Raw genomic sequence first — 13,253 nt, forward strand, 5'->3', positions numbered from 1 at the left:
AAGGAGAAGTAAGGAAAGCAGCAATTTAAGGTTATTCAGGATTAGGTCAGTAAAAGAAAAAAGTAAAAAACTATTGGAAGTGTCAGCAGATGGATGAGATTTTATAGGAGATGTGATTAAACTTGGGAGAAGAGGGCTTTTCACGGCTCTCAAAAGTTAAGCACTTGGAGACCGAACAAGGAATACTCTTACAAATGTTGAATTGAGTCTGGGTGCGTGGCTCATGCCTGTAATACCAGCTACTAGTGAGGCTGAGGCGGGAGGATCACTGAGGCTGAAGTGAGGTATGATAGTGCCACTGCTCTCCAGCCTGGGCGACAGAGCGACCCTGTCTCCATAAAATAAAATATTAAATAAACGTTTAATTGAGCTGCACTATGCCAAGGACACCTAGGTGAGCATTGGCACTGGGATATAGTCAGCTGTTAATACTTATACGGTACCCTTGACAGAAATACCAAAGACTGTTCATTAGGAAAGCATATTTTTTTTGTGCTAAGCTCAGCTTTAATAGGATTCTAAATATCAAGGGTACACTAAGAATATCTAGGAACCTCCACAAATCAAAGTATAACAACCATAACTCAATCTGCTACATCAAAATGTCTATTTTGGAAGTTACTGTTTCTCAAAACAAAAATGACTAAATTTAGTTGGTTTCTTGGTGCGTAAGAAAACGTCCTGCTTAGATGTCCCATCAGAAATAAGGCTGCCATTTCCAACAGCGTTGGAAAAGCACTTAGCTTATCAAACAGCTGATCTTAACAGTAGGCAACATTTAAAAAAAAAAAAACTTGTTAAAACTATACCATGAACTGAGAACACAACTCGTATTCAGATTTCACGGTTATGAAGATTAACAACTGTTATATTCAACTGTTTTCGACATTGATAAACTCATACGGAGCTAGTTATAAGTACATTGAGATGCTTTACAGGCAAAGATTTTTAACAAGTAGATTCATAAATAACCGTCTTTGGGAAGCAGTGACCATGTAAATCTCAAATGTGAACAGCATGGAAGTAGGGCGATAGGTTTCAGTTAGGTTCTAGGTAACGTTTATTGAGTGATTGCTCTGGAATTGATAAACTTCGACTGGTGGAAAAGGCAGGAAAGCAACTATGATTGGGCATAATGAAATTAATTCCATATGGAGGTATGGGCAGCATTGTGTTGAAATACACAAGAATGTCTTTCATGTCAGCCTTGTAATATTTTCACAATAACCTTGGTGATTAATGACCTAATCTCTTGATTTGTCCCTCTGACTTTTGGTCCTTCGACCAAGCTGCACAGTAGCTCCATATTAATTTCCCTTAAAAATGTTTTATGGCTATCATACATTTTATAATATTAAATATAAGATTTACTTTTTGAGAATAATAAAATGAATACCTTCATGTTCCTCTGTGTCTTCTTTCTCCTTCCCACACCCACCCACTACCACGTATTTTAAGATTATAATGTATGGTATTTATATAGGACTACCTGGCAAGGCATAATCCTTAAAGACCCTTTTCATGCATTAACTCATTTAATCCTCACAATAACCTTCTGAGATTGGCATTAATATTTCCTTTTTCAAATGAGCAAAATGAGGCACAGAGAGGTTGAGTCAAAGTTCTCTAGCTAGTAAATGACAGTATCTTAATGGGCTTTGGATTTAATGGGTTTTGCTGTTCATTTGTTTGCCAGATATTAGAAACAATCTTGTATTCATTGTTATATGCTGTACATGGCAAATGTTTCTCTAGAGTGCAGTTCTCGAAGTATGGTCTCACAACCCTTGGAGATCTCCAAGACCCTCTCAGAGTCTACAAGATCCTTCTGTAATGACCACGTTTGTGGTAGACTAGATCTTTAATAAGTCAAACAAAATAACATATCCAACAGAGCGAATGCAGAACTAGATAAGAGAATCCAGCATTCTTTTTTTAAAGCAAACATTAAAGAGATCTGCAGAAATGTAAAATAGTGCCATTCTTTTCACTAGATCTTTTAGAGTGTAAAGGGGTCCTGAGAGAAAAAGTTTGCAAGGGGCAACTCTAGGGCAGTGATTTTTCTTTTTTTTTTCCAGACCAGAGGCTGGGCTCTGGATTACAGCTCAGTAGTGGGTCATGGAATATGTACTGTGACTCAACCCGTATCATTTTCAAGAAAGAAGAGAGAGAAAATCGTTCAGCAAATATAACTGAATGAATTATCTGGTTCACAGAGTATGTGCGTCTTCAGCTTTACTCGGTCATACTAAATTGTTTTACCAAGTGATTATACCAACAACCCTCTTTATTTTATGTCCTCTTAAATGGATGGTATCGTCCCACTTGTAAATTTTTGCTGTGTGTGTGAAATGGTATCCTATTTTCTGATTTGTGCACCTCTTATCATTGGTGAGTATGCACCCTGTTTTTTTCAAACCTTTACTAGTGTGTGTGTGTGTGTTCTTCTGTGAAATACCTGTTCATGTCCTTTGCCTGTTTTTGTCTGTTAAGACTGTTCCAGAGACATCTTGGCTGGTCTTTGATATCTTTCGATTAATAGTTGTTGTTACTTTTAATGTAAAATTTGTTAGTCTTTTTATAATTAGTGATTTCTGTTTAAGAAATTCTTCCTTTCTCCAAGGCCTTGGTTGTATTCTTCTATATTTTTTTCCTACTTATTTTAAAGTTGAAGCCTTTTATGTCCTTAATTTACTTGAAATTAATTTGTATGCTGTGAGATAGGGATCCAGTGTAACGGTTTTACTTAAAATACACAATTGTCCCCACACTACTTGTTGAAAATTCATCCTATCCCCAATGGTTTGCAATATGTTCATTTCCATATGTGTATGGGTGTGTTACCTGGCTCTTTGTCCCTTTGTTGTATTTGTCTCTCCTACTTAGATACCCACTTGGAGGTGGGGGGGTCATTTACCTCCTTGTTACTCAAGAGAAATATTAGCTATTGTTGGTCCTTTGCTTTTCTTCAGTAGAAATTCTGGAACCTGCTGTTGGAATTTTGGTTTAGATTTTATTGAATTTCTAGCTTAATTTGGGTGTAACTGATACGTTTAGGATATTGACCCTTCTGTCTGAATGTTATGTTACTCCATTTATTTAGAACTTTAACATTTTTCAGTACTTGTATAATTTCATGTCTTGTATATTGTTCAGTTTATTTCTAGTTTTTAATTGTGTGATATATATTTTCATAAGTTGCATTTTCTAATATATAAAATTACTGACTCTTACATATCTATTTTACTCAGCAATCTTCCAGACTTAATTCTCATAATTGAGGATTTTTTGTTTTGTTCTATTTAGTCATGATACGAAATTGGGATTCTTCCTTTTCAATCTTAATAGCTGTTATTCTTTTTTTTTTTCTTAGTGTGCAGACTAGGGAAATGAAGTACAATGTTGACCAGAATTGATGTAGGTATCTTTGTCTTACTCCTGATTTTAAAAGGAATATTTCAAGTTTTCCACCATTAAGTATGTTTGCCATCTTTTCTTGTAAAACTTCATATTATCATAAGGAAGTAAGTTTTTTAAAAAATAATGGCTGGATGTTGAATTTTATTGAATGCTTTTCTACATTTGTTGACGATCGTATTGATATTTAGTTTGGAACTGTTGCATTGATTGCACTGCTCAGAGCTGTACATCATGTTCCTCCACCATTGGACCTTGACTTCTCCAATTTTATTTCCTCAACATGTGTACACAAACTCTTTTTTTCAGCTAAACTGATGTATTCATTAACCTGGAAATAATTGCCTTTTATATCCATTTCTAGCTTGCCTATCAGAATACATGTCAATCTACAAGACCCAGTATCGATTTCAGCACTAATAAAGACCTTCCTTTACCATACTGTTTTGAAGCAGTGTTCTGTTGAATGCATCTGAATTTAATTTGCACTTAGTCTCTATTACATCCAATTTACCAGTTCCCACCTACTGTTTTGTATTTGAGTTTTATCTAGGTAATATCTTGCAGCTGTGTTGCATGTGCCACTTATAAAGAAAGCAAGTAATATGCATTTTTAAATTATGCTTCATACTTCACACAGTGTCATAAAAAGATGTTCAATAAATATTTGAATTATGTGTTCCTAAATGAGATATTTGCCCTAAGAACTAAAGGCTGCAGGAAAAGCTAGTGATCAGGTTAAACATTTTGCCTTTAATCCTGAAAGTTTCTCCTACAATCATATTTTGGTTGGAATAATTTTTACTGAATGCTTAGGGTCATGGAGAGATTAGTGGATTGGGAGTTAGAATTGGGCTCCTTTCTACGCAGCCTTCCTATGATATTTGTGCTATTTGTTAAATATAAAGAAGCCCAAAAGCTTTTGGTGATCTCTTAAAGGGTTGTAGTGATTTTGTTGAAAAGGATAATCTTTTATAAGTAATGTGCAGTTTCCTGTTTTGCGGAGGAAATGTATAGTTAATATTCAACAGATTTATTGAACATAATAAAACTCCTTTATTAGAACTTAATTTCTCCAGCAAAAATTCTACACCAACTGGGTGTACTACAATTATTTTAATTCTGACACTGCCCAGATGTTGCTCAGACCCCCATACATTAAGGGGCTCCGTTTCACAAGACTGCCTGCCCCCAAGTCAGTCAGAGTTCGCAGAGCATCTGCATTTCTGCTCAGCTGACTACAAATTATGGGATTCCTGCAGCTTTCCAAGAACGGCTCACAGTACTCAGGAAAGACTGTTCTTAAGCAATTTCAGTTTTATAAAGGACACAACTCAGAAACAGCCAAATGGAGGAGACATAGGGCAAGGTGTGAAAGGGCTTCTGTATCCTCTGGTGCAGCACCTTCCCAGCATATCAGTATGTTCAACAATCTAGAAGCTCCCCAAACCTCATTATTCAAGAGTTTTCATTGAGCTTTCATTACATAAATACATAATTGAGTAAATTATTGTCCGCTGGTCACTGGGCTCAATCTGTCCCTTACCTCCCCTAAGGTCAGGGCCTAGGGCTGAAATTTGTGACTCTTCCCCCCCACCCCACCCCCCTCCCAACACACACACACACAGACGGAGTCTCACTCTCTTGCCTAGGCTGTAGTGCAGTGGCCCAATCTTGGCTCACCACAACCTCCACCTCCTGGGTTCAAGTGATTCTCCTGCCTTGGCTTCCTGAGTAGTTGGGATTACAGGGCACACCCCCACACTTGACTAATTTCTTTGTATTTTAGTTAGAGACAGAGTTTCACCATGTTGGCCAGGCTGGTCTCGAACTCCTGACCTCAAGTGATCCGCCCAGCTCGGCCTCCCAAAGTGCTGGGATTACAGGCATGAGCCACCATGCCTGGCTGAAATCTGTAGCTCTTTATAATCTAGTGGTTGGTTTTTCTGGCAACCAGCTTCCAGAAGATGCCTTCAAACCTGAAGCTACCTAGGTGCCCTACCTTGAGTCCCTTCATCAGCCTAACAAGGATACCCTATCACTTAAGAAATTCTAGGAGTTTTTGAATCTGTATCTGAAACCAAGGACAAAAGACTAAATATATTTTTTATTATACCACAGGGCATACAGATAATAAAAATGTATATGTCATGAGGAGTGATATAAAATAGTAAAGGGCAAGCCCACTAACATACAAAATGTAGAACAGAGGTAGTTCCATTTGGGGAACTAGTTTGTTAGTTAATCACATAGTTAATGGGATTCCCCTGACTGGGCAGAGGGTGGTCGGCAAGTCACTTAATATTTTTGAATATTAAATGATAGGATTCTGGTGGGTTGTAAATAACCAATGAAAACTTGAGGTTCTCTGTGACATTTAAAATTAAGCTATGCAGTAATTGAGGATGCTTTGCAAGACCTTTGACAATATTATAAAGAATTGAAAACTCATCCTATTTTCCAGTTACCTGTAAAACCAGATGCCAATTTGCCATTAAGTTTGGAAAATGACAAATACTAGTCTTTGTTATATATGAACATACTATAGTAGACTTAGCACTTATTTATTTGAGTACCACTTTTAAGACTTGGCCCTACCCTCCTAAGCTCTTTGTCCCCACTTTTGATTGTCATAGCCATAGTGTGTTTTATATTTATATAAATAGAAAATGTTTTATATTTGCTTTCTTAAATCACCTGGAAATTTGCATGATTTTTAACATGGAAGTAAAATCTTTAATTTTAAATAAGATTTAAATACAGTGCAGGTATTTCGATAGCCTTTGTTTCAGGAGATTGTTTACTGTTTTAAATATTCATTGTGCTCTTGTACTTTTATGAACACGGATTATTCTGGTAAATGTAAATCTTCAAAGGTAAGAATTGAAAAACATAGTTTGCTGTGGCCGTTTGAGGAAGGAAAGTGGATGAACATTTTGAATAGCTGGTAGTCATATCTTCCACCTTAGCCCTCAGCTTCTTAGTTACTTCCCCCAGTCTAGGACCATCTGTCAGTAGGAAGTCGCCTACAACAAATAAAACTCCACAGTTAGCATCTCCTGGGTTGAAATTATTATGTGGAATCCTAAATTTAACAGAATCTCATTCATGACAGAATGGTGTACTGTGGAAATAAAGTTTTATGTTTGAGTGTTTGATGGGCCTTAATGTTTTCTAATTATTTTCTTTTTTGTTAATTAAATGTAAAGTATTTGAGGCAAGGACAGTGCCTTATTTTCTTTCTGGAGTTTTGAATACTATAAATATTCAAGTAGTAGTTTGTGGATGGGGAATAGAGTAATTCAGTCATTTGTAGCAGTTTCTGGTCCTGTAAAAATAATGTTTTTATTTTTCTGAACGTATATTTCACAGTATATATTTTTAACTGCGGTATTTACATTCATTGTATCATTTAAGTATTTCTGCACAGCATTTGTATTCAAGTTGTATGAACATTATTTTCTTCTTGTGTCTGGCATATGGCTATATTCAGACTAATATGAAACACTTTAAAAGTTGTATTTCTTTAATGATTGAATTGTATTGTTTCTAGTCAGTGGATTTTTTCTGTTGTCTGTATGGACAGTCAATCTCAGTCATAAATATTTGTGATTTAAATCTGCTATTTGTGGTTCACACTTTTGAAAGGTAATTTGTGTCTTTATTTTTTAGAACAGCTTTGCTGAGCCATCAAGGTCTAATGGAAGCATGGTTCGGCATTCTTCATCTCCATATGTAGTATATCCTTCGGATAAGCCTTTCCTTAATAGTGATCTACGACGCTCCCCAAGTAAGCCTACACTTGCCTATCCAGAAAGCAACAGCAGAGGTAATCGAGCCTAACGAAATAAATGTTATTTGTGTTTTCTTGCTGCTTTAAAATTCTTAACTTTGTCCTCCATTATTTTGCCATTAGAGGAAAATATATTTCCCCTTTGCTTCCAGTTTCAGCCCCCAGAAAATATTATGCTTTTCTTGTATTCCTTATATTGATTGTTGAACATCATCATCCACCAAATTACTGATGCTAAAACACTTTGAGTCATCAGTGACTGCTCTGTAATCCCCACTATTAGTCCGGAATGAAGACCTTTTTTTGCTTCTGAAATATACCAAAAGCATACTGTTTTTTCTGCCTTTTTGTGTTCTCATTGCTTTGGTTCAGGCTTTCATCATCTGTAGCCCAGATGTTCATAGTACATTCCTCATTAATCTCCCTGCCTGTTTTCTCCTCCTCATCCCCAGTTAACAACATTTCTGTCATTTGTCATTATCCATCATCTCTCCCACAAAATTAAAGCTTTAGCATCTCTTCATAGCTTACATAATAAATTCTTAATTTTTCATAACCTAGACCCTATATGCCTCACCAGCTTCATCCCTAACTTGTCTTCTGTTTTTTCCTTTCCCATCCTTTGCTCTGGCTACTTTGAAATACATTTATTCCTGGAACCTGCCATCTGTATTAGTTTTCTTGTCGCCTTAACAAATTGCCATGAACTTAGCTTTAAATATTTGTTATCTCAGTTTTCTGTAGGTCGGAAATCTGTGTAGGCTTATCTGGGTCCTCTGTTTAGAGCCTTACAAGGCTGAAATCAAGGCTTTGCTTGGGGCTCTGTTCTTTACTAGAGGCTCTGGGGAAGATCTGCTTCCAAGCTCATTAAGATTCTTAGCCAAATTCAGTTCCTTGTCATTGCAGTACTGAGATTCTGTTGCTTTGCAGACTTTTACTTGAGGACAGTCTTTGCTCCTAGAAACTGTCCTCCTTCCTTCATGTTTCCCTTATTGTCTCCTACGGTAACAGTAGGTAGTCTCTCATGTTTCTTTTTTTTTTTTATTTTTTATTGTTTTTTTGGAGACAGAGTCTCACTCTGTCACCAGGCTGGAGTGCAGTGGCGGGATCCCGGCTCACTGCAACCTCCGCCTCCTGGATTCAAGCTATTGCTATTCTCTTGCCTCAGCCTCCTGAGTAGCTGGGACTACAGACGCGCCCAGCTAGTTTTTGTATTTTTAGTAGGGACGAGGTTTCACCATGTTGGCCCAGATGGTCTCAATCTCTGGACCTCGTGATCCACCCGCCTTGGCCTCCCAAAGTGCTGGGATTACAGGCATGAGCTACCGCGCCTGGCCAAGTCTCTTATGTTTCAAATCTCTCTGAGTTCTGTTGTTACATTTCTCTAACCACAGCGGGAGAAAATTTTCTGGTTATGTTATCAGATTGGGCCCACTCAGATAATGAAAAGATGGTTTTGATATTGAATTTGTTAATCGTCTTTTAGATGTTTCTTCATCTGTATCTTTTAAAATACACCTACCTCATACTTTGTGTGAAGTTTAAATGAAATATCTTTGCTTTATTTGGGATGCTGTGGCATTTCCTTTTTTTGAAAGTTGTGTTTAATCACTAATATTGCAACAATTCTATGTGTTAATGATTCTCTAGGTAAAAGAAATATTTTTGACATCGTAGGCTAAACAGGCATTTGTAAATTAGTTGAGGAACATTTTTTGTTTCAGTTGGGATATATATTGTAAGTATCCTAAAAATCTCAGAATGAACCTGTTTTGTAAACTGGACTGATTGTACAGTAAAATACCAAGTAGGTAATGATATCCAAATACCAGCTTAAATCCTAACCTATAATGGGTGCTGAAAAGTGTTTACTGAAATAAAAGTAACTAAATAGTGTGATGTCTTTTAAGAATTTTAGTACTCTGTAATCACTAACCTAGAAGCCTCTTTATTATAAGATACTGTGTCTCGATGATAACGAAAATTTTTAATTAATGGTTAAAGCAACTGATAAGGTTCTACACATCAGAGTATAGCAGGTTGGCAATTTAAGAAAATTAAGTTGCATGACATTCAAACAACATAGATTTTAAAAAGCAAAAAAAAAAAAAAAAAAATGACTGAAGCCCACAGTAGAGCAAAAATCAGTTGCAGTAAGTTTCTTATTCAAAAATAAGCACAAAACAAAATATCCATTTACAAAGTTCTAACAGGAACACAAAATCTAAGAATTAGATATTAATCCTTCAACTATAATATTGTATCTAGTTCTGATCTTTACACCCATGAAAGGAAACTTTTAAAAAGTTCAAAAAAATGACAAATTACTAGCAAAGAATAAGAAATATTAAGAAGGCAGATTTATTCACCGAGAATCAGAAAAATTTTAGCACAGCATGTTACTAATAGAGCTAAATTCTGCTTGAGTGCAACATCAGTGGTTTTAAGGAATAAAAGAGAAGTGAGACAAGCAGGGAGGAGACGGAGAGGAGAAATAAACAAGATAAAAAGTAACCTTTAAGCTTTTATGCCTTTAGAGCATGATGCGGTGAACTATTTAAGCAATGTCCCAGGATAATTATTATAATCCATTATCCTTTTATAGTGTTTTAATCCAACGATACTTACTTTCCAAATGGGAAGGAAAGACACAGAAATCACTATCCCCTTCTCACCCAGAAAAAAAATAAAGGCTGTGAGATATGAACAAAGACCAAGAGAGTTCAGAAAAGACATTTGTTGGGGATAGGGATAAGTGTGTTGGGGAGGTTAAAGGAGAGGAAAACCTCTCAGAGGAAAAACGAAATAATAGATAATCTGAGTTTTAAAGAATGAGCACAGTTCTATAAGAAGAAAAGTTCAACAAGAGTACAGCATGTGAAAGGTTTATAAACGTGACATGATTTTTTTTTTTTTTTTTTTGAGACAGTCTCACTCTGTCACCCAGGCTGGAGTGCGGTGGCATGATCTTGGCTCACTACAACCTCTGCCTCCCAGGTTCAAGCAATTCTCCTGCCTCAGCCTCCTGAGTAGCTGGGATTACAGACACATGCCACCACACCTGGCTAATTTTTGTATTTTTAGTAGAGACAGGGTTTAACCATGTTGGCCAGGATGGTCTCGATCTCTTGACCTCGTGATCCGCCCACCTCAGCCTCCCAAAGTGCTGGGATTACAGGTGTGAGCCACCGTGCCTGGCAAACCTGACATGATTTTTATTGCTTCATCAAGGACATTGTGGCTTAGTTTTTCTTACTGGGAATTTATGACAGTGAAGAATACAATGCCTAAAATAGTAGTTTAGTGTTACTACCTTGATTTGAGCTAAAATTAGGAATTTTACCCAACATTGCTTTTGCATGATCATTGGCAAACTTCAACACAGTGAAAAAAGTGAAGTCTTACTATTAATAGTATTATGAAAATAGTGTTGACCTCACAGGCCCTGGGAAAGGCCTCATGAGCTCTGCCCTCAATGTGCCTATGCCCCATATTTTGAGAACCACTGTAATCAAGGATATGAGTATGTCCAGAGTAGTATTTTGTTCATGTAAATACTTTTTTACCAGGTGTGAGAAGAATGTAGATAGTAGCATTTGTTCCAGAATCTAGATGATAGCTCCTTGAGGCCAAAGACAGTCTTCACGCCTTGCAGAGTGCTTCACACATTGTATGTGGTCTATATGTTTGAGGGACTGAGGTTTACATCAGAAGTAAGTCTAAACTGAAGCAACAAGACAGAACAGGAGACTGATTAAGGAAAGATTTATGCATATTTTGTTGTGGGGAATGAGGAAGATGGAGAAATCTTTGAGTCTAAGATTTCTAGTGAAGATGATTAGGGGTATGATTAGGACAGATGACACAAAAAAAGCATACTTAGAGGAATTGATATAATTTTGGCTGTATCAAATTTGAGATGCCTGTGAATTAGATGGAGATGAATACTAAGCAAATGAAAATTAAAAAGTCAAGTATAATAGAGAACACTACTAATGAACTCAGACATCATCAAGGATACAGTAGTGGATGAAGCCTATGAGTATAGAGGGGTTTCTCCAGAAAAAGAAAGTAGAGGGAGAAAAGGGCTTTGGAAAATACCACCATTAAAACAGTAAACTAAAAAGTAGGAAAAGTCAGAAAGGTGGAGAACTACCAAGACAGCAATATTAGAGAAATCAAAGATGCATATTACAGGTTTGGCCCCTGCCCCCCCGCCCCTTAATCTACAACAACATAAACCTGTGTTTATGTTAATGACAGAAATGTCCCAAGCAATAAATAGACCCAGGTGGACTTGAAGAACATTAGGGACTCAAACATGGCTAGCACTTTCCATCTTTTTTTTTTTTCGGCTTGTAACTAGCTTCATTTTTTCTAGCTACAAAAGAGCTTTTTTTTTGCCTAGCAGGAAACATTACTAAAAATTACTGAGTTTTAAGTTGAACCAGTTCTGGCTTTGATGTTTCGGACAAAAGTCCCAAGAAGACAAGCAAGCATTATCTGGGTTTCAGCGTGTGTCCCTTGTGGATCAGTTAGCCAGATTTGTCAAAGGATAGTAAAGTTGTAGGTATAGCCATGTTGAGGTAAGGGGAAACTCCCAGAAAAAGAGGTATATAAGTCAGGGAAACAGTTCCAAAGATGTGTGCTATACTTCATATAGCAAAATAAAAGAAAAATTTCAGGAAACAAAATTAGGAAATACAAAATATAATGAAAAATATGAAATTTATCAGGTATGACAAATGTGATTACGTCAACTCAAAAGCCAATATATGCTTTTTAAGTAAAACCTGAAATAAAATGAAACAAAAAATAAATAGCTGACAAAGGTGTTTACTGCCATACAAATAAAAACGATGGATGGCAGTACTACTGTCAAACAGTTAGTATAGGCAAATAGCAGCTTCATGTAATACTAAATAAAAACAAATAATACCTAGTTTAAAAGTGAGAAGGAGAAATACCCAAGTACAGAAATAAAATGAGTTTCAAGCCAGGACAGTAAGGATGGAACTAAAGCCTAAAACCTTAGGGACAGTATTAGGAGTCTTGGCATTAGGTATAAGCCTTAAATGTTGGGGTACAGTAGCAGAGATGATGGAATTTTAAATGTGGGTAGCGACTGGAGAACAAAGCTCTAGGCGCCCCTGAGGCAACTTCTGGAATACTTTGAAAAGGTGGGCGTGATGAGAGTTGTCAAAGCAGAACTGGAACACTGCGGCCCGTGGTCTCAGGAAGAGACTGGATAAAAAAAGTCACCTCTGATAAGTCAACTCAAGCCAATTTTATGTGCTTACTGAGGTGCATACGTGAAGACTTGAATACATAATGAGAGCTATACATTGTTAATGAAAATGCTTAATATTATAAATTGCATTTAAAGTGTGCTCATATATAAATAAATATGACATAGTAAAGGTCAATCTCACATATAAAAGCATTTTTAAAATCTATAGAATTTCAATAAAATGTTTATAATTACTACATCTAGATGGTAAGATTATGGGTGTGATTTTTTTCCTTTTCAATCATGTGTTTTCTAAATTATCCTCTGCATTTATTCAGTAATTTTTTGAAAAAGAAAACAATAAAACGTTACGCATTTAAACAGGGATATGTAAGCCATTCAAGAATACATAAAACAAAAGTGCACACCCCAGCATATCCTTGTGATACTACAGTTGCTGACATAAAGAACAAAAATGAAATGTTCAGCCAGTTTCAATAATAAATATAAGTGCAGAAATAAAGTATCAGCAACATTGTGTACTGTTGGGTATAATTTAATGAAGGAGTGCAAAAAATGTTTGATATTACAAAGTCTTTAGTGAATTTGCCTCTGATTCAGAAGAGGTTAAGAAAACTCAATGGATATTAAAGGACGTTTAAAATTTTATTTTTCTATTGTACTTATCTGATTATTGCAGGTATATAAAAGAATTGTTCCCTTTATTATTAATCTTATATTTAGGCTTCTGTTTAGTTCTGAGTGTCTTTTCAGTTGATTTTTCAGGTTTCTTCCTGTGTGTGTGTCTGTTTC

At 36.2% G+C, this 13,253-nt stretch overlaps 1 protein-coding gene across 19 annotated transcripts in view; it reads left to right on the forward strand.

Annotated features, from left to right (window-relative positions):
• CEP57 (centrosomal protein 57) overlaps window positions 1-13,253 on the forward strand; it is a 42,680-nt gene that overhangs the window by 2,129 nt on the left and 27,298 nt on the right. For 11 of the 19 annotated variants that reach the window (NM_001440869.1, NM_014679.5, NM_001243777.2 and 8 more), the window contains exon 2: window positions 7,090-7,246. In NM_001440869.1, the coding sequence (NP_001427798.1) occupies window positions 7,126-7,246 (121 nt within the window). In that variant the 5' untranslated portion in view covers window positions 7,090-7,125. Of the gene's footprint in view, window positions 1-2,078; window positions 2,392-3,373; window positions 3,418-7,089; window positions 7,247-13,253 lie in introns of those variants that run through there. The other 8 variants (NM_001440870.1, NM_001440875.1, NM_001440878.1 and 5 more) reach the window with 4 other exon arrangements.

Source organism: Homo sapiens, chromosome 11 (assembly GCF_000001405.40).
Source record: "Homo sapiens chromosome 11, GRCh38.p14 Primary Assembly".
Taxonomy (NCBI): Eukaryota; Metazoa; Chordata; class Mammalia; order Primates; family Hominidae; genus Homo; species Homo sapiens.